Source organism: Homo sapiens, chromosome 16 (genome assembly GCF_000001405.40).
Source record: "Homo sapiens chromosome 16, GRCh38.p14 Primary Assembly".
Lineage (NCBI taxonomy): Eukaryota > Metazoa > Chordata > Mammalia > Primates > Hominidae > Homo > Homo sapiens.
The window spans coordinates 28,878,488-28,898,713 of record NC_000016.10 but is presented as its reverse complement, the minus strand read 5'-3'; the positions used below and the strand labels follow the sequence as shown (position 1 = coordinate 28,898,713).

The window sequence follows — 20,226 nt, the reverse complement described above, 5'->3', positions numbered from 1 at the left end:
CAGGCTGGTCTTGAACTCCTGGGCTCAAGCGCTTTTCCCATCTCAGCTTCCCAAAGTGCTGAGATTACAGGTGTGAGTCACTGCACCCGGCCTCCCAAGGTTCTCTGAAACTCTACTGTCCTGTGATTCCATGGCCTGTACTAAGGAGCCATCAACTTGACTGACGAGGTAGGAAATGATCCGGGTGGTGGAGCTGTGAGTGGATGGCTGGGACCCGGCCCTTCACCAGCTCCACGACAGTGGGAGGCTCCCAGCTGCTTACCTCATACTCCAGGAACCTGGCAGAGTCATCCAGGACCATTTCCTCTCGCTTCGGGGGGGTGTCCCGGGTGGCCAGGGCCAAGCAGCGCAGGGTGTCCCGGCCAGTGCCCCACTCCTTGATCACCGCCATGATCTTTTCCTTCACCGGCCCCGTCAGTGGCACCCGGGTGGTGCCAACTCGCACATAGTTACAGCGGTCGATGACGCCCTCAGGGGCACCCTAGGAGACCAGAACAGCATTCAGAGACCACCACTTTCCTTCCAGGGCAGTGACAGGTGGCTAGGAGTAGGAAGAAGAGGGGGCTGAGGCACATTCCGATTTCTGACCTTGACAAACATCTTGTTGCCCACAGCAGCCCGGGAAGATTTGGCTGGGGAGCAATAGACAGACATGGACTTTCTGTCTCGGGAGAACTCCAGGGTGAATTCCTTCTTCATTAGCTGGCGGATCACCTGGAGAGGAGACAGGGAGGGGAGACCAGTCCTCTTAAAATGGTCAAAAAGAATCTGGAGGTCAGAGCAGACCCCAAGCTAAGGCTGAGACTAACACTAAGTCTGGTCCCTATAGCACAAAAGGAGAAAATCCCAAGGCTAGTGTTGCCACAGTGCTTCAGGGTCCTAGGTTAAAGCACAGAAGAAAAGGATGGCCTATTGTGGCACTGTCCCACAGAACTTTCATTATTGGCCAGGCGCGGTGGCTCATGCCTGTAATCCCAGCACTTCAGGAGGCTGAGGCGGGTGAATCACTTGAGGTCAGGAGTTCGAGACCAGCCTGGCCAACATGGTGAAACCCTGTCTCTACTAAAAATACAAAAATTAGCTGGGCAGAGATTGCAGTGAGCCAAGATCGCACCATTGTACTCCAGCCTGGGCGACAAAGCGAGACTCCGTCTCAGAAAAAAGAAAAAAAAACTTTCATTGTTTGTTTATTTATTTTTATTTACTTATTTTTTTCTTTAGAGACAGAGTCTTGCGCTGTCTCCTAGGCTGAAGTACAATGACGTGATCATAGCCCACTGTAGCCTTGGCTCTGGCAATCCTCCTGCCTCAGCCTCCCAGCCAGCTGAGTAGCTGGGACCACAGGTGTATGCCACCACTCCAGGCTAATTTTAAAAAAATGTTTTAGAGATAGAGTCTCCCTGTGTTGTCCAGCCTGGTCTCACTCGTGGCCTCAAGCAATCCTCTTGCCTTGGCCTCCTAAAGCATTGGGATTACAGGCATGAACCACCACACCTGGCCCTATAACTTTTAGTAATGATAGAAATGTTATGTGATCTGCACTGTACAATTGGTGCAACTGAGCAATTGCTGTGGAGCATTGGAGGTACTCTGTATATTATTTAATTTGAATTAATTTTTATTTATTTATATTGAGATGGAGTCTTGCTCTGTTGCTTAGGCTGGAGGGCAGTGGTGCAGTCTTGGCTCACTACCACCTCTGCCTCCCAGGTTCAAGCCATTCTCCTGCCTCAGCCCCCCAAGTAGCTGGGATTACAGGCACACGCCACCATGTCCAGCTAATTTTTGTATTTTTTAGTAGTAGACCAGCTTAACCAACATGGAGAAACCCCGTCTCTACTAAAAATACAAAATCAGCCAGGCGTGGTGGCACGTGCCTGTAATTCTAGCTACTCGGGAGGCTGAGGCAGGACAATCACTTGAACCCAGGATCACACCATTGCACTCCAGCCTGGGCAACAAGAGCAAAACTCTGTCTCAAAAAAAAAAAAAAAAAAAATGAAGGCCAGGCGCAGTGGCTCACGCCTGTAATCCCAGCACTTTGGGAGGCCGAGGCAGGCAGATCACGAGGTCAAGAGTTCAAGACCAGCCTGACCAACATGGGGAAACCCCATCTCTACTAAAAATACAAAAATTAGTTGGGCGTTGTGGCACATGCCTGTAATCTCAGCTATTCAGGAGGCCGAGGCAAGAGAATTGCTTGAACCCAGGAGGCGGAGGTTGCAGTGAGCCGAGATGGCCCCACTGCACTTCAGCCTGGGCAAAGCAGAGAGACTCCGTCTCAAAAAAAAAAACTCGTCTCTACTAAAAATACAGAAAGTTAGCTGGGCATTGTGGCTTGCATCTGTAATCCCAGCTACTAGGGAGGCTGAGGCAGGAGAATTGCTTGAACCCAGGAGGCGGAGGTTGTGGTGAGCTGAGATCATGCCACTGTACTCCAGAATGTGTGACACCGCAAGACTCTCAAAACAGACAGACAAACAAACAAACAAACAAACAAACAAAAAGAATGAAAGCCTTTTTCACCAAATGTATCATGGATACTTCTCCAAAAAATAAAACAAAAATAAAAAGAACAAAACATCAGTAGCCAGGAAAAGTGGTGCATGCCTGTAGCTTCATCTACTTGGAAGGCTGAGGCAGGAGGATGGTTTGAGCCCAGGAGTTCAAGGCTGCAGTGCGCTGTGATCACACCTATGAATAGCCATTGCACTCCAGCCTGGGCGACAGGCCAAGACCCCATCTCAAAAATAAATAAATAAAAATTTATGTTTGCATTATCATTTATAAATTTTAAAAATTAGTCCTCTATTGACAGGTATTTAAGTTGCTTTCAGTTTGTTTATTTTGGAGACAGGGTCTCCCTCTGTTGCCCAGGCTGGAGTGCAGTGGTGCAATCACTGCTTGCTGCAGCCTTGACCTCCTGGGCTCCAGCAGTCCTCACACCTTAGCCTTCCTAGTAGCTAGAGTACAGTTTTGCACCACCACACCCAACTAATTTTTTTCTTTTTTTTTTCTTTCTTTCTTTGTTTTTGTTTTCGTTTTTTTTTGTAGAGATGCGGGTCTCACTATGTTGCCCAGGCCGGTCTTAAACTCCTGGGCTCAAGTGATCCTCCCACCTCAGCCTCCCAGAATGCTGGGACTATAGGCGTGAGTCTCTGTGTCTGGCCCGCTTTTTTGTTATATTAAATAAAGTAGCAATGAGCATTTTGCATATACAAAAAAAGAGAGAAAGAGAGAAATGTGGGGAATATAATTCCCCAGAGAGAAGTGCTTAATGGAGACGTTCAGCAAGTATCAATAGCAATAACTGGGAGTGACAGTCCTAGAAGTGGCCGGGTTCATCTGGGCAAGGAAAGGCTTTCCCTATAGGTGCAGTAGCCACATTTCCCAAATCCTAAGTCAGGACTCATCATCTGCTGAAAACAAGTGTGCTTCTAGAAACAAAGGAATAACAGATGAAGTTGGGGCTGCTCCTGGATGGGTCCCTTGTGGTTTCCGTGTCCAGCTTTGTCCACTTCAAATCAGGACACAGCGGGCAGAAGTGATCATAGATTCATCAAGGGCATGGCCGCCAGGCAGCCCCAGGGACAATGGGTCCCACCCACATCAGCCTGTGGAGAAGCTGCAGGGGCTGTCTGCTGCCTGGGTGGGGTCCCAGCACAGGCACTAGGCTCTGCCCAACCAGGGCCTCTGCCTTCCTCTAGTCTATGCAGCATAGAGTGGAGACGGCCCTGTGGCAGGGGCTCCGCAGGCTCACCGAGTTGCAGGCGTTGGCTCTCTCCACCTTCGAGAGGCTTCTCACATCCGTGTTGAACACATTCATCTTCTCCACCAGGGTGGTGAGTGCTGTCTCGGTGGCCTCGCCGACCTTCTCATAGACACCTTTGGCCTGAGATGGGCAGAGGAGGAAGAGGAAGTCGGTGCCCCAGGCTCCTACCTGTCATACCCTCCTTCCACCTAGCGTAAGAAGGAAGCAAACCACTGCCTCCCTTGCACCCTGGCAGAGGGCTGGGTGTACTGGGTCCCCTTCCTCCAACCCTTTCCTCCTGGCCTTCGGAGGAGGCCCAGACTCTGAGCCAACTGGAAGGGGAAGGAGAGGTTACCTCGTTGAAGTCCAAGGAGGAGTCATTGCAGAGGGCACAGATGGTGGCCAGCTCCACCAGCCCGTCATACTGCCCTGGCCGGACTGGCTTATCATTCTTCAAGCTGGCAGCAGGGTCAGGGGAGGAAGGGACAGAGACAGTGGAGAAGAACAGGGAATGAGATGCAGAGAGGGCACAGGAAGAGCAGGCAGCAGAGGGTAAGGAAGGACAGTGGGGAGAGCCAACTCGGATATCAGGAGAGAGAACAAGGTCGGGGAGGAAGAGGAGAGTGAAAGGAGAGCAAAACCACATGGAGGGCCCCAGGGAGAAAGGGGGTGTGGGAAGGGGCGTGAGGAGCTGGGGAGAAGATGCCTGGGTGACTTACACCTCTCCCTCTGGAGCGTAAGTGGAGCCGGTGATGGAGAACTCATTCAGGAGGCAGATGTCCCCATCCACCTTGTCAATGATAAACATCTGCAGGGGAGAAGGGCAGGCACACAGATGTCCACCTCTTCCCATCCCAAGGTGGGCACCTGCATCAAGGGAGGCCTGCACTGCCAACACCTACCTTCCCACCATTTCCCTCCTACTCACCCCTCCTCATCCCCCCCGTATACCCTACCCACTTCCCACCAAGCTGTTGCAATCATTCTCTATCAACAGCCTTAAAACAATAGTTACTGAGGCTGGGCGAGGTGGCTCACACCTGTAATCCCAGCACTTTAGGAGGCTGAGGTGGGCGGATCACCTGTCAGGAGTGCAAGACCATCCTGGCCAACATGATGAAACCGTCTCTACTAAAAATACAAAAATTAGCCAGGTGTGGTGGTGCGCGCCTGTAATCCCAGCTACTCTGGAGGCTGAGGCAGGAGAATCGCTTGAACCTGGGAGGCAGAGGTTTCAGTGAGCCAGGATCGTGCCATTACACTCCAGCCTGGGCGACAAGAGCCAAACTCAAAAAAAAAAAAAAAAACAAAAAAAAACCCACAAACGAGTGACCGCAGGCTGTGCTGTGCTGGAGCTTCTGTAGACCAGTTAATAAAATAAGATGGAACACAATAAGGTATGGTGGGGACTGTGGCAAACAGCCCAACTATTGGCACCTGGACCATCTACAGCTCCAGCTGCATGTGGCCAGATCTTCCAGTTTTGCAGGAAGAGCTAGAAATTCAGGTTATCTTCCTATGAAATCTCTTGACTTTTTCTTTTTCTTTTTGTTTTTTAAGATAGGTTCTTGCTCTGTTGCCCAGGCTGGAGTACAGTGGTGTGATCATAGCTCATTGCAGCCTCAACCTCCCGGGCTCAAGTGATCCTCCCACCTCAGCCTACCCAAGTAGTTGGGGCCACAGGCACATGCCACCATGCCTGTCTCTCTTGCTCTCTCTCTCTCTCTTTTTTTTTTTTTTTGGTAGAAATTGGGTCTCACTATGTTGCCCAGGCTGGTTTTGAACTCCTGGGCTCAAGTGATCTTCCTGCCTTGGCCTCCCAAAGTGCTGGGAGTACAGGCACCCACCATGATGCTGGGAGTACAGGCAACTACCATGCCCAGCCTCTTGACTTTCAAATATATGGGCAATTCTTTTTTTTTTTTTTGGAGATGCAGTTTCACTCTTGTTGCCCAGGCTGGTGCAATCTCGGCTAACTGCAACCTCCGCCTCCTGGGTTCAAGTGATTCTCCTGCCTCAGCCTCCAGAGTAGCTGGGAGTACAGGCATACGCCACCACGCCCAGCTAATTTTGTATTTTTAGTAGAGACGGAATTTCGCCATGTTGGCCAGGCTGGTCCCGAACTCCTGACCTCAGGTGATCCACTCACCTTGGCCTCCCAAAGTGCTGGGATTACAGGCGTGAGAATTAATTCATTTTTATGAAACATGACAGGAGCCAAGTCACACGAGCCTGTGGTCTGGCTTTGTGGCCTGTGCGTTAGAGGGATGTGGAGAACGCAGTGCCCAGGAGGAGTGGCCTACCCTGAATCCTGGGCAAACGCAACAGAGACTGGGCTTTTCATTCCCGAGAAGAGAGATGGTTAAGATGGGTTCCAAGACAAAAAAGTTCTGTGGTCAGAAAAAAAACTTGGGAACCTCTGGGGCAAAGCAGAATCCGTCTTCTTTACACAGTCAGCCTCCTCTAAGGCTTTCAAATAGCAGCAGATGTTGTGGGTCTCGCCCAGGAGCCAAGGTTACAGCCTTTCTCACCCTGATCTGACCACACAGCCCTTGCTTCTCAGAACAGCAATTTCTAGTTCATGGGTGTAGTCTTCCACAAAACTCTGTGAAGGGCAGGGGTTCTTGGCCTGAGGTCAGTGGAAGACCCTGCAAGGAGCCCAAGAACTGAGATAGCCAAGAAAAAAACGACAGCTTTTCTTGTTCTCAAGCTGACGTTTGACATTTCCTTCCAGTTATGCATGTTGTCAACAGACCACATTAGTATTAGCAAAACCTGTGACTGTCACCAATTTAATCACAGATACTTTCCTCCTATCACATTACCACTGTTGCAGATCTCTCAAAATAGCATAATTTATGCTCACCACTGCTTCAACATTATGATAGTGCTTAGACCCACTGCGAGAACTCCCTAATTAATGCCTTAATAAAGAAGCATGTGTGTTGCCAAATTACAAAGTTGTTTTTAAAAATTTTGATAGAACTGTATTTCACAATCATTGGTTTCCTCTGTAACCCTATGTATCTTTCCTATGTATTTTTTTTTTACTTTTTTATTTTTGTTTTATTTTATTATTATTATTTTTTGAGACAAAGTCTCACTCTGTCGCCCAGGCTGGAGTGCAGTGGTGCAATCTCACCGCAACCTCCGCCTCCTGGGTTCAAGCGATTCTCCTGCCTCAGCCTCCCAAGTAGCTGGGATTACAGGTGCCCACCACAACGCCTGGCTAATTTTTTGTATTTTTAGTAGAGACTGGTTTTCACCATGTTGGCCAAGCTGACCTCAGGTAATCCGTCCGCCTTGGCCTCCCAAAGTGCTAGGATTACAGGTGTGAGCCACCGCATCTGGCTACTTTTTTTTTTTTTTTTTTGAGACGGAGTCTCGCTCTGTCGCCCAGGCTGGAGTGCAATGGCACGATCTCAGCTCACCGCCTCTGCCTTCCAGGTTCAAGCAATTCTCCTGCCTCAGCCTCCCAAGTAGCTGGGACTACAGGCATGTGCCACCACGCCCAGCTAATTTTGTATTTTAGTAGAGACAGGGTTTCTCCATGTTGGTCAGGCTGGTCTCGAACTCCTGACCTCAGGTGATCTGCTCACCTCGGCCTCCCAAAGTGCTGGGATTACAGTCGTGAGCCACTGCGTCAGGTCTTTTATATTTTTTTTCGAGATGGAGTTTTGCTTTTGTCGCCTAGGCTGGGGTGCAATGGCGCAATCTCAGCTCACTGCAACCTCCACCTCCTGGGTTCAAGTGATTCTCCTGCCTCAGCCTCCTTAGTAGCTAGGACTACAGGCATCTGCCAACACGCCCAACTAATTTTTGTATTTTTAGTAGAGACGGGGTTTCTCCATGTTGGACAAGCTATTCTCGAAATCCTGACCTCAGGTGATCCACCCACCTCGGTCTCCCAAAGTGCTGAGATTACAGGCATGAGCCACCGTGCCCAGCTTCCTATGTATTTTTAAAACAGAATCCTGGCCGGGCGCAGTGGCTCACTCCTGTAATCCCAGTACTTTGGGAGGCCGAGGTGGGCAGATCACTTGAGGTCAGGAGTTAAGAGACCAGCCTGGTCAACATGGCGAAACCCCATCTGTACTAAAAATACAAAAATTAGCTGGGTGTGATGGTGCGTGCCTGTAGTCCCAGCTACTCAGGAGGCTGAGGAAGGAGAATCACTTGAACCTGGGAGGTGAAGGTTGTAGTGAGCCGAGACTGGGCCACTGCACTCCAGCCTGGGTAACAGAGTGAGACTCCATCTCAAAAAACAAAAAAAAACAAACAAAAAAACCCAGAATCCTGTTTTGTTTATTTATTTTTTACTTTCTATTTTATCTTTTAAAAGGTGGGGTCTCACTGTGTTGCCCAGGCTAGTCTAAAACTCCTGGGCTCAAGTGATCCTTCCGCCTCAGCCTCCCAAAGTGCTAGGATTACAGGCGTGAGCCACCGTACCTAGCCCTATTTTATTTTATTTTTTTGTGCGTGAGACAGGGTCTCGCTCTGTCATGCAGGCTGGAGTGCAGTGGTGTGATCACAGCTCACTGTAGCTTTGACTTCCTGGCTCAAGCAATCTCTGGGTTCAAGTGATTCTCCTGCCTCAGCCACCTGAGTAGCTGGGACTACAAGTGTGCACCACCACATCAGGCTAATTTTTTTTTTTTTTTTTTTTTTTTGGTAGAGACGGACTCTCACTATGTTGCTTAGGCTGGTCTCGAATTCCTGGGCTCAAGTGATCCTTCCACCTTGGCCTCCTGAAGAGATTACAGACGTGAGCCACCACCCCTGGCTTATTTTATTTTATTTCATTTCATTTCATTTTATTATTTAAGACAGTCTTACTCCGTCGCCCACACTGGAGTGCAGTGGCGCGATCTCGGCTCACTGCAACCTCTGCCTCCCGGGTTGAAGCAATTTTCCTGCCTCAGCCTCCCCAGTAGCTGGGATTACTGGCACGCACCACCATGCCCGGCTAATTTTTGTATTTTTAGTAGAGATGGGGTTTCACCATGTTGGCCAGGCTCATCTCGAACTCCTGACCTCGTGATCTGCCTATCTTGGCCTCCCAAAGTGTTGGGATTACAGGCGTTAGCCATTGCACCTGGCCTGTTTTATTTTATTAATATACATTTGAAATATTATCCTGACAAGAGCTCAACTGCAAAGGGGTGTGAGGCACAGAAAAGATTAAGAGCCCTGCTTTAGGAAATGCTGTTCACGGTCAGTGTTGGCAGTCTGGCCGGGCCCTGTCATGAGTGACCATTCTGGAGAGCCATCTACTTCACAGGCAGAAGCTCTGGGGCCACACAGACTCGGGTTTGAAGCTCAACTCTGTTATTTATTAACTGTGCATCTTGGGGGAAGTCATTTAATCTCTCAGAGGCTTTTTCCTCCTCTAAAAAAGGAAGTTAGGCTGGGTGCCGTGGCTCACACCTATCATCCCAGCACTTTGGGAAGCGAACAGGGGCACATCACTTGAGGCCAGGAGTTCAAGACCAGCCTGGCCAACATGGCGAACCCTGTCTCTATTACAAATGCAAAAAAATTAGCCAGGCGTGGTGGCAGGCACCTGTAGTCCCAGCTACTAGGGAGGCTGAGGCAGATGAATCGCTTGAACCCGGGAGGCAGAGGTTGCAGTGAGCCAAGATCACACCACTGCACTCCAGCCTGGGCGACAGAGTGAGACTCTGTCTCAAAATAATAATAATTTTTTTTAATTAAAAAAATGAAGATAATGAGACCATCCTCTGAATGGGCTATTGTGAGGGATGAGAGACGATGTGTGGCAGTGCCTGGTGCGTGGATGGTGGTCAGAGTGAGCTGTCTGGCTGGGGCACAAGGGTCCTCTCTGATCCCGTTCATGGCAGACAGGATGGCGTTCTACTGCCCTTTGAGCATTTTGCAGGCCCAGATGAGAAGCCAGCAGTGATGAAGGGAGACCTCTATCTTTGGAGGGCCCATTTAACCCCCACAGGCAGCCTTCTGACTGAGCGCGCTGCCCACACTGCTCCTGACCTTGCAGACAGACATCTGGTTGGTGGTGAGGGTGCCTGTCTTGTCGGAACAGATGACAGAGGTGCAGCCCAGGGTCTCTACGGAGGGCAAGCTTCTTACAATGGCATTCTTCTTTGCCATCCGACGGGTACCCAGGGCCAGGCAGGTGGTGATGACTGCAGGAAGACCTGTGGGGAGGGAGGGAGGGTGTGAGGGAACCTGCAAGGGGAGGGTGTGAGGGAACCTGCAAGGGGCTAAATAGTAGCCCCCAGCTGGGCACGTTGGTGCACACCTATAATCCTAGCACTTTGGGAGGCTGAGGCGGGAGGATCACTTGAGGCCAGGAGTTTGAGACCAGCCTGGAAAACACAGTGAGACTCCTCTGAAAATATTTAAAAATTAGCTGGGTGTGGTGGTGATTGCCTGTGGTACCAGTTACCCAGGAGGCTGGGACAAGAGGATTGTTTGAATCCAGGAGTTCGAGATTACAGTGAGTTATGATTGTGCTACCACACTCCAGCCTGGGCAACAAGAGTGAGACTCTGTCTCTATTAAACAAACAAACAATAATGGTCCGCAAAGATACCAGATCCTAATCCCTGGAGCCTGTAAATGTTACCTTACTTGGAAAAGGGGTCTTTGGGCCAGGCGTGGTGGCTCACACCTGTAACCCCAGCACTTTGGGAGGCCGAGGCGGGTGGATTGCTTGAGCCCAGGAGTTCGAGACCAGCCTGGCCAACATGGTGAAACCCCATCTCTACTGAAAACACAAAAATTAGCCAGGCATGGTGGCGTGCACCTGTAATCCCAGCTACTTGGGAGGCAGAGGCAGAAGAATCACTTGAACCCAGGAGGCAGAGGTTGCACTGAGCAAGGCCGGGTGCGGTGGCTCACGCCTGTAATCCCAGCACTTTGGGAGGCCAAGGCGGGCAGATCAGGAGGTCAGGAGATCGAGACCATCCTGGCTAACACGGTGAAACCCCGTATCTACTAAAAATATAAAAAAATTAGCCAGGCATGGCGGCGTGCACCTGTAGTCCCAGCTGCTAGGGAGGCTGAGGCAGGAGAATGGCGTGAACCCGCGAGGCGGAGCTTGCAGTGAGCCGAGATCACGCCACTGCACTCCAGCCTGGGTGACAGAGCAAGACTCCATCTCAAAAAACAAAAAAGAAAAAAAGAAAAGAAAAGAAAAGAAAAGGGGTCTTTGCAGATGGGATTAGCAAATGGGAGGAGAAAAGAAAGGCTTTCATACCTTCGGGGATGGCAGCCACAGCCAAGGCCACGGCAATCTTAAAGTAGTAGATGGCCCCGCGGAACCAGGAGCCCCCATGGACGGGGTCGTTGAAGTGGCCAATGTTGATAAGCCAGACAGCCACACAGATGAGGGAGATGACCTTGGAGAGCTGCTCCCCAAACTCATCCAGCTTCTGCTGCAAGGGGGTCTTGTCCTGTTCTGTGGCAGCCATTTGGTCTCGGATCTTCCCAATCTCGGTGCCCACACCAGTGGTGGCCACGATGCCCAAGGCCTTGCCGGCTGCAATGTTGGTGCCCTGGGAAGGGAAAGAGGAGGCAGGGAATCAGGCAAGAGGTGACCCTCATGCCGCATCTCCCCACGCCATCTCTTCTCACACGCCATGTTTCTCTCCAACCCGGGCACCTGGCTTGACTGAGTGTGTGATGGCTGGTCCCGGATTGCTCACCGAGAAAAGCATGTTCTTCTTGTCCTGGTTGACAGCTCGGGGGTCAGGAACGGGCTCCGTGTGTTTGATGACAGATACAGACTCGCCTGTGGAGAAGGGGCCAAGGGGTTTTCGGATGACATCATGTCCTTCTCCCAGGCTTCCCGTGCCTAACTCTCTCCCTGCTCAGCAGGACAGCTCCTGGTAAGGACCAAGTAGCCATCCTGGGGGATGTCTGGACTCTGGAAGAAGCCACTGAAGGCAGCTAGGAAGTCCATTGCTCCTTTTTTTTTTTTTTTTTTTGAGACAGAGTTGCAGTCTTGTCACCCAGGCTAGAGTGCAGTGTCAAGATCTCAGCTCACTGCAACCTCCCGGGTTCAGGCAATACTCCTGCCTCAGCCTCCCAAGTAGCTGGGATTACAGGCACATGCTGTCACACCTGGCTAATTTTTTTTTTTTTTTTGTATTTTTAGTAGAGACGGGGTCTCACCATGTTGGCCAGGCTGGTCTCGAACTCCTGACCTCAAGTGATCCGCCCACCTCAGCCTCCCAAAGTGCTGGGATTACAGGCCACCGTGCCCAGCCAGAAGTCCACGGCTCTTAAAAAGACCTCGACCCAAGCCCCAGCTTGACCACTAACAAGCTGTGTTTGATCACCTAACTTCCATGTGCTCCTCTGTAAAATGGGGACAAGGACATGTACACTGCAAAACAATGTCTTGGGTGAAAATCAAATAAGTGGACATATTTGGAGCCACACTTTTAACTGTCAAGCATGTTTCTGGGAGGAAGGGGGACCTACACTTACGACCATGCCTCCCTCACCCTAAGAGCAGGGGCTCAGCAGCAAGCCTGGGCCAGCCTAGCCCTTGCCCCCTGGGACCATGGGGAATGTTTTCTGCCTCTTCTTCGCTTCTCCCTGCCAGTGCGGAAACAGAAGCAGCTATGGTGGTTTTACAGAGACAGGGTCTTGCTCTGTTGCCCAGGCTGGAACGCAGTGGTGTGATCATAGCTCATTGCAGCCTCAAACTCTTGGGTTCAAGTGATCCTCCCACCTCAGCCTCCCAAACAACTGGGACTACAGGTGTGCAGTACAATGCCCAGCTAATTTTTAAAAAAATTTTATAGAGATGGGGTCTTGCTCTGTTGTCCATGCTGGACTGCCGTGGTAATCATAGCTCACTGTGGCCTCAAGCTTCTGGGCTTAGGCAATCCTCCCACCTCAGCCTCCCAAGTAGCTGGGACTACAGGTGCACACCACCACACCCAGCTAGTTAAAAAAATTTTTTTTTTATAGAGATGGGGTCTCGCTGTGTTGCCGAGGCTGGTCTGAAACTCCTGACCTCAAGTAATTCTCCTGCCTCAGCCTCCCAAAGCACTGGGATTACAGGTATGAGCCACCACGCCCAGCCTAGCAGCCATGGTTTTCAGTGTATCTGAACCCCCTATCTTGTCCTAGAATCTCATGGCTCCTCCCTGGAGGATTTTTGAGGAGGCTGAAGGAGACAGGACAGTTCTCGAGGTGTCTGTGGCCCTATGTCCATGTGGAAGGGGTGGGCTGGTGGCTATCTAGAGAGTAGGCAACAACATCCAGCCTTCTCCCACTACCCGTCCCGTTTCAGGCTTGGGACAGAATGGAAACGTCAAGCAGGTCAGGTGCAGTGGGTGGCTCACACCTGTAATCCCAGCACTTTGGGAGGCTGAGGTGGGTGGATCACGAGGTCAGGAGTTCAAGACCAGCCTGGCCAAGACGGTAAAACCCTGTCTCTACTAAAAATACAAAAATTAGCCGGGTGTGATGGTGGACGTCTGTAATCCCAGCTACTCTGGAGGCTGAAGCAGGGAATTGCTTGAAGCCAGGAGGCAGAGGTTGCAGTGAGCTGAAATCGCGCCACTGCATTCCAGCCTGGGTGACAGAGCAAGACTCCATCTCAAAAAAAAAAGAAAATGTCAAGCAGTGCTGCCACTGCCACAGCCACTACTAGCGAGCCAGGGGGAGGCCCCAGTGCTGGGTTTTGTTTTGTTTTGTCTTTTTTTTTTTTTTTTGAGATGGGGTCTTGCTCTTGTTGCCCATGCTGGAGTGCAGTGACATGATCTTGGCTCACTGCAGCCTCAGCCTCCTGGGTTCATGCAGTTCTACTGTATCAGCCTCCTGAGTAGCTGGGACTACAGGTGCCTGCCACCACGCCTGGCTAATTTTTGTGTTTTTTGTATTTTTTGGTAGAGATGGGGTTTCACCATGTTGGCCAGGCTGGTCTCTAACTCCTGACCTCAGGTGATCCACCCACCTCGGCCTCCCAAAGTGCTGGGATTACAGGCATGAGCCACCTCGCACAGCCTTTTGTTTTTATTTTGACAGAGACAGGGTGGCCCAGGATGGAGTGCAGTGGTGTGATCACAGCTCACTGCTGCCTTGACCTCCTGTACCCAGGCGATCCTCCTGCCTCAGCATCCTGAGTAGTCAGGACTACAGGCACTCAACAACATGCTCAGCTAGTTTTTAAAATTTTTTTGTAGAGACAGGGTCTCTTTATGTTGCTCAGACAGTGAGGGTTCTCTGTCTTTCCACTCACCTCCCCCTTGTTGCCTCTTCCTCCCCACGTCCCACCCCCATGCATCTTCCCACCCAGGCCAGCAGACCTGTCAGGATGGACTGGTCAACCCGCAGCGTGGTGGATTTGATGGCGAGGATTCGGATGTCTGCAGGGACTTTGTCCCCCACTGTGGAGAGAGTAGGGAAGAGGGAGGTCACTTGGGAATGGAATTTTCTTCCTTCCAAAGAAAAACCCAATCTGTGTCTGACTCGTTCTCCTCATCCATCCTTCAGGTCTCAGGGAGGCTCCCAGGGCTTGCATCAGGCCCTTGGCTTGAGCTCCTGAAGCTGGCAACCCCTCATCGTGACACCCATCCCTTCTGCCCCCGTGTCCACGGCGAGATGGAGTCTCGCTCTGTTGCTCAGGCTGGTCTTGAACTCCCACATCTCTTCCCACTGGCTGTGAGCCCTGAGAAGGGATGGGCAGGTGTACTGCTCAGCACATAGTACATGCTCAATAAATGCCCACTGAATGACTGGAGGGGAAATTAGGGACAGTCCAGCTGTAGGACAAGAAGCTATAATTGAGATTGGGAGACAGGAGTGAGAAAGGCAAGGAGGAAAGGCAAGGAAAGAACTCAGGGAAAACAGGGTGCATTAGAGAGAAGGGGTGTCGGGGTGAGAGAATGAAGTGGACAGCCAGGGAAGGCAAGGAGAAACGGGAAAATATGGAAATTGAGAAAATCGAGGGCAACCAAGAGGAACAGTGGAGGGCAAGGCAGGAGAGGAGTGAGCGGAAGGTATGAGTGGGCAGGACTCAAGGCAGCGGGGGGCACAGGGTGGTCATGGAGAGGACCACATATCGGGAACCTGACAGCCCGGTCTGAGCATCTCAGGGAGGCAGGGAGGCGGGGAGCCAGGGAGAGTGAGCTGGGGACATGGACAAGACAGGATGGGATGGGACAGGAGAGAAGCGGGGGTTGGGCAGGAAACAGGTGTGGAAGAGTGGGGCGGGCAGCACAGGCTGGAGAGTGAATGGGTGGAGGTGAGGCCAGGGAGACGCACAGGTGGGCTGGCAGGCCATGGAAACCACCTTGTCGGGGGGCTGGAGAGGTGGATGCCCAGCCAGACTCAGAGACCTTAGGAGGAGGCTAAGAATCTCCCAGGGCCGCTGCCTAATTCCGCACTGGTCCCACGGATGGTACTGGGGACAGGGTCCAATCGCTTTCCTTTCCCTCTGTTTCTAAGGATCCCTCCTGTGCCAGAGGAAATGGACCGAGGAGGGAGGAGGGAGGTCGGGATAGAGTCGGGCGGGACACCCTGTCACCCAAGCCCGCGTGATATTTATAGACATTCATGGCGCTGACTCCATGCTGTCACGGCGGCAAGGCTGCCCTGTGATGGGGCGCTGGGGTCTTCAGCCTGCCCTCACTCCCTCTGCCCAAGCTCCCTGGGGTGGTGATTCGGATGTCTGCTACAGGGAAGGAGGCCTCTGAAGAGCCATTCCCCCTGGCAGGGGCCTGGAGCTTCGGGAAGGCCTGCTCAGGGCAAACATAAAAACCGCTGAAGGGGGCAGAATCCCAGTAATCTTAGCCACCCGGCCCCCACCCCTCCCTGGCCAGGCATTAAGTGTCCCTTGCCGCGGGCGGGGCCCTCCTTGAGCTCCCTCCTCCCCGGTCGCGTGCTCTGTGCCAGGCCTGAGTTTCCCTTACATGGTCGGGGGCTCGAGCCTTCGGCCTCCCTCCTCCCTTCTGCCCTCGCTCCTTCCCCTTTGAGAGGCCTCAAGGGCACAGAGAGGTCAAGACTGAAAGCTGACCAAGCTTGGGGTGGGTGGAAGGAGGGGGAAGCCAGGCCCGGGAGGGGGTGGAGACGGGGCCATTGGCAGGGACCGGGTTCCACCTGTTGCCTGCGAGTGCAAGTGCAGGGTGAGAGGATGGGGAGCAGGGGGTCTGCCTGCAGCCTCAGGGACAGGACTGGCTGTTCCTGCTGAGACTCCGCTGGGGAGGGGGGGATGTGGCCGGAGTGGCCTGGGATGACCTTCTGAGGAGTCGGAAAGAGAAGCAGACTCCGTCATCCTCCTGGACACCTGGATCCGAGCCTGACCAGCCCCCGGCATCTCCTAGGCCTCAGCCCCAAGGCCTCCCATCCTGGACCAGCCGTCCCTGTCACTCACCAGCCACCTCCACGATGTCCCCAGGGACGATGTCCCGAGCCTTGATCCTTTGCACTGACTTGCGGTCAGCCCGGTAGACCTTCCCCATCTCTGGCTCATACTCCTTCAGGGCCTCGATGGCGTTCTCTGCGTTCCGCTCCTGAGGAGACAGGGTGGAGGAGGCAGGGTTATACACAGGAGGCAGAGTTATGGAGTTGTGGCTCCTGGCACGGGGGAGGCAACAAAACCCCACACAGGCAGGGGTGTGTGTATGTTGAGGAAACTGTCACCTACAGGTGAAAACAGGTGAGAGGGTTTTGGGGAGGGAACAAAGAAGAATCAAAGAAAATCAGGCCGGGCATGGTGACTCACGCCTGTAATCCCAGCACTCTGGGAGGCTGAGGCAGGCGGATCACTTGAAGTCAGGAGTTCGAGACCAGCCTGGACAACATGGTGAAACCCCGTCCGTCTCTACGAAAAGTACAAAAAAAAAAAAAAAAAAAAAAAAAAGCCGGGCGTAGTAGCACGCGCCTGTAATCCCAGCTACTTGGGAGGCTGAGGCACGAGAATCACCAGAACCTGGAGGCAGAGATTGCAGTGAGATGAGATTACGCCACTGCACTCCAGCCTGGGCAAGAGAACGAGACCCTGTCTCAAAAAGAAAAATCTAAATAAAAAATCAAAGAAAATCAGAGGCTGCCCTGCAGATGCTGTCCTGGACCTGTCAGCACCACAGACACAGGTGGCTCTGCTGCGCCTGTAACACTGGGGCAAAGAGAAAGTGCTATTTCTCTCTTTTTTTTTTTTTTGAGACTGGGTCTCACTCTGTTGCCCATGCTGGAGTGCAATTGTGCAATCTTGGCTCACTGCAACCTCCGCCTCCCCATTCAAGTGATTCTCCTGCCTCAGCCTCCTGAGTAGCTGGGATTACAGGCACCTGCCACCATGCCCAGCTAATTTTTTTGTATTTTTAGTAGAGATGGGGTTTTACCATGTTGGCCAGGCTACTCTTGAACTCCTGACCTCAACTGATCCACCCGCCTCGGCCTCCCAAAGTATGAAAGTGGCTATTTCTATCCTCAGTGTTCAGAAACCAGTGAGCACCAAAAAATGGCTTATAGCCTGACATTTCTTAAAACCAAAGCAAGGTAGCATTTGGGTTTTCACTTTGGAAATGACCTAAAAACAAAACAAAACAAAACAAACCAGGAAGCAGAGGACAGGACATGTAGGGGGTGGTCAGGTCAGTGGAAGAAGGAAATCAAGCTAGCGTCTATTGAATTCCTACTGTGTGCCAGGAACATGCATCATCTTAGTCGATTTCACACTGGATTGCTAGCCCCATTTTATGGATGAAGAAACTGAGGCTCAGAGGGATGAAGGAACTTGCTCAGGGTCACATAGCCAGGAAGTGACAGTGGGTCACAGTCTCCCACCTCTTCCCCACACTCCATCCCATTCCAGACCAGGGGATAGGACCAGAGGAAGAGGCAAGTATGGGGGAGGTGATGGAGGAGGAGGAGACTGGAGGGAGGGTTGGCCTCTTCTTCACTGTTGGGACATGAAGGGGTAAGGAAGGGTCAACGCTAACCTGCCAAACCCCCACGATGGCATTGGCAATGAGGATCAAGAGGATGACAAAGGGTTCAACAAAGGCAGTGATGGTCTCTTCACCTTCCTCAAACCAGGCCAGCACCTGGGGAGCAGGGGAAAGGAGAATGACAGGTAATGAGGCCCCAAAACAGATGGAGAAAGGAAGTGGACCACTGCAAAGGGGAGAACTGTGCAGGAGAGTGCAGGAGCCAGCAGGAGGGCCGGGCACCGTCGGGGCGCTGTGGCCCCACATCCGTCTGAGGGTCTGTCCATCCACTGCAGGTCCTGCCACCGCCTTACTCAGCGGGATGGGCGCGCACAGACTTGCACCACTTGGGGGATTAGCTGGGAATGCTTTCAGGTTTCCCTGACCAAGCTGCTGGCTTAGAAGCGAAGCTCAGGCCAACCCCCCGCACAGCCACATCCATCCCACGGGAGCCAAAACCCGAGAGGAAAAACCCTGTGGTCTTCGCAGGCGGTCTGGCCCCCGCAGCCCTCCCCCTCGGCCAAGGCAGGGAAGCTCCGGTTTCACGAGGGAGCCGGAGCGGGGATAGGGTTACGGGGCCTCCTGCGCGCGCCCCGCCCCAGCTGTTGCCACCGCCAGGCAGCAGGCAAATGTCAAGGAGCAAATCTGAGAAGGGAGAGGAGAGGCCCTGCCAGCTTGTGCTTAACGCGACGGGGCCTGCGTTCGGAGACCAAGGCACAGGGAGGCTTTCGTTGCCTCCAGAGTCCCCAGCGAGGCTCACATGCTGCGGAAGAACCCGCGACATGCAGATGGACCGCGGGATGGGGAGTAGCCCCCAGGGCGGGAGAGGAGGCAGAGCCCTGGAGATGCCCTGCGGGGGTGGGGGTGCCTAGGGAGCGCGGGGAAGGGCTAAGGCCAGGCTGGGCGGGTAATGAGGGATGCCAGTGCCCTCCCTGACCGGGCGCCGGGCTCCTTGGAGTCATCATCACACCGCCGCGCTTTCCCGCCACTAGGAGCGAGTCCTCCCCTCGACCAATCAGCGTCAGGAGGCTGGGGAGGGCGGGGCAGGGGCGCCGACGGGCGCGGGGATTGGTGGAGCGGCCGTCCGCCCGGCGCATGCCGGGAGTGGCAGTGGCCCCCCGCGCCGCAGCCGGCATCGCGGCGGGACCCGGAGCCCGGAGTTCGGGTGGGTAACCCGAGCTCTCCAAGCTCTTGAAGCCGCGAGGGTGGCTTAGCTTCGGTGTTTTGGCTGAGAACACCCTTAAAGCTTAAAATAAAACCTGCCTCTGGGGTGCAGGGGAGGAGAGAGGAGGACGCGAATCACACCCGCTGCTGCGCGCCAGCCCGCCCCGTCTGTACAATGGGATGCTCGGGACTCGGACGGGAGGATCCAGTGACTGCGAGCCCCGCATTCGCCCGATCCCAGCCTCACACCCCCAGCCAGCCCCCAGAGACCCTCCCACACTTACGAAGGAAATGCATGCGGCCAGGAGGAGAATCCGCACCAGGAGGTCTTCAAACTGCTCTATCACCAGCTCCCACAGGGTCTTCCCTGGGGGAGGAGGCAAGGGGAGGGCCCCGGGTTAAGGTCTAGTGGGTGAAGGTCTGGGATGGAGCGCCCTGGACTCCGGCCTGCAGTGGGGAGGCTCTAGGGTGGTGGGCAGACAGCTTGGTGCCCAGAGAAGGGCTAAGAAGCTCGCCTGGAGTCCAGAAACAGACTCGGCAAAGTGGGGGGCAGTTCAAGGGTTGGCTGCTTCAAGGAGAAAGCGCCTGGGAGACTTCTGCCCCGGACAGGACTCTAACCTTTAGGGAGGGAGATTTGCCTTTTGGGAAGGGATATTTGCTCAAAGAATCTAAAGAGGCAGGGAGGAGGGAGTGGGACAGGGCGGGGTGGGGGGTGGTCATTTATGAGAGTTCAGGGATTCCAGTAACTTACCTTCCTCAGCAGGGAGCTCTACCCAGGAAAAAGAAGAAAAGGACAGATTCATTTGGGGTTCAGCCTCATGCCCCCCACACCCAAGACTTTGTGGCTAAGAGAATCAGGCCACCTTGAGGTTCATCAAGTTCATCCCATTAAAACCTCCCAAAACTCTGGATCTCGGGACTCTGTTTTCTCAGTATCTTCTTCCCCCTGCGAGCATTGGACAACGGCCCAGCTCTTCCTTAAGAAACCCTGAAGGGAGAAACGCGTGCATGCGTGTGCGTGTGTTTTGGGGGTGCAGGAGGGCATTAATTACCAGCCGCTCTTCCAAGGGACACTTACCATTGAGGCCGTATTTCTCCAGATTCCGCTTAACTTGGTCCGGGGTGAGGCCCGTGGTCTCACTCACCCCAAAATAGGCCAAACATTCCTCCGTGGTTTTAGCATGAGCGGCCTCCATTGTGCTCCCTTCCTGGGGGCCGGGGCCGGTGTGTTCCTTCCAGGGGGTTCCCACTCGTGGGGGGTCTTCCTCAGTGTGTCCAACTGCCTGTCTGCCTGGGTTTCTTCTTTTTACTCTCCTGCCCCCTCCAGGTTTTTCTTCCCTCCACAAAGCTCTGACCCCCGTCCCACTTGAGCAGCCGGCC

The 20,226-nt window shown here is 53.0% G+C and overlaps 1 protein-coding gene and 1 long non-coding RNA gene across 7 annotated transcripts in view, besides 4 other annotated features; one reads left to right on the top strand and one right to left on the bottom strand.

The window, feature by feature from the left end:
- ATP2A1 (ATPase sarcoplasmic/endoplasmic reticulum Ca2+ transporting 1) overlaps positions 1 to 20,226 on the bottom strand; it is a 25,979-nt gene extending 5,753 nt beyond the window's left edge. For 2 of the 3 annotated variants that reach the window (NM_004320.6, NM_173201.5), the window contains exons 1-14: positions 19,925 to 20,226; positions 19,598 to 19,615; positions 19,131 to 19,213; positions 17,695 to 17,799; positions 16,125 to 16,263; positions 14,059 to 14,139; positions 11,440 to 11,525; positions 10,992 to 11,289; positions 9,761 to 9,927; positions 4,471 to 4,559; positions 4,107 to 4,209; positions 3,761 to 3,892; positions 589 to 714; positions 263 to 481 (exon numbers count right to left, since the gene is read on the bottom strand). In NM_004320.6, coding sequence (NP_004311.1) covers positions 263 to 481; positions 589 to 714; positions 3,761 to 3,892; positions 4,107 to 4,209; positions 4,471 to 4,559; positions 9,761 to 9,927; positions 10,992 to 11,289; positions 11,440 to 11,525; positions 14,059 to 14,139; positions 16,125 to 16,263; positions 17,695 to 17,799; positions 19,131 to 19,213; positions 19,598 to 19,615; positions 19,925 to 20,042 — 1,764 coding nt within the window. In that variant the 5' untranslated portion in view covers positions 20,043 to 20,226. Of the gene's footprint in view, positions 1 to 262; positions 482 to 588; positions 715 to 3,760; positions 3,893 to 4,106; positions 4,210 to 4,470; positions 4,560 to 9,760; positions 9,928 to 10,991; positions 11,290 to 11,439; positions 11,526 to 14,058; positions 14,140 to 16,124; positions 16,264 to 17,694; positions 17,800 to 18,619; positions 18,672 to 19,130; positions 19,214 to 19,597; positions 19,616 to 19,924 lie in introns of those variants that run through there. The other variant, NM_001286075.2, reaches the window with a different exon arrangement.
- Positions 14,734 to 15,543: an enhancer, noted in NCBI's record as "H3K27ac-H3K4me1 hESC enhancer chr16:28894492-28895301 (GRCh37/hg19 assembly coordinates)". NCBI's record gives its function as "activates a minimal SCP1, AML or CMV promoter by ChIP-STARR-seq in naive H9 embryonic stem cells {active_cell/tissue: H9 hESC(naive)}" and the evidence as "EXISTENCE:reporter gene assay evidence [ECO:0000049][PMID:30033119]".
- Positions 18,577 to 18,926: a silencer, noted in NCBI's record as "silent region_7316". NCBI's record gives its function as "represses an Ori minimal core promoter by ATAC-STARR-seq in GM12878 lymphoblastoid cells {active_cell/tissue: GM12878}" and the evidence as "EXISTENCE:reporter gene assay evidence [ECO:0000049][PMID:35858748]".
- On the top strand, positions 18,793 to 19,757 carry ATP2A1-AS1 (ATP2A1 antisense RNA 1). 4 transcript variants are annotated; one of them, NR_046290.1, is made up of 2 exons: positions 18,793 to 19,172; positions 19,610 to 19,757. It is a non-coding gene; the product is annotated as an ATP2A1 antisense RNA 1 (long non-coding RNA). The 4 variants fall into 4 exon arrangements; NR_046289.1 differs by having other exon boundaries at positions 19,607 to 19,757; NR_046288.1 differs by having other exon boundaries at positions 18,793 to 19,225.
- Positions 18,947 to 18,996: a silencer, noted in NCBI's record as "silent region_7315". NCBI's record gives its function as "represses an Ori minimal core promoter by ATAC-STARR-seq in GM12878 lymphoblastoid cells {active_cell/tissue: GM12878}" and the evidence as "EXISTENCE:reporter gene assay evidence [ECO:0000049][PMID:35858748]".
- Positions 19,067 to 19,840: an enhancer, noted in NCBI's record as "H3K27ac-H3K4me1 hESC enhancer chr16:28890195-28890968 (GRCh37/hg19 assembly coordinates)". NCBI's record gives its function as "activates a minimal SCP1, AML or CMV promoter by ChIP-STARR-seq in naive H9 embryonic stem cells {active_cell/tissue: H9 hESC(naive)}" and the evidence as "EXISTENCE:reporter gene assay evidence [ECO:0000049][PMID:30033119]".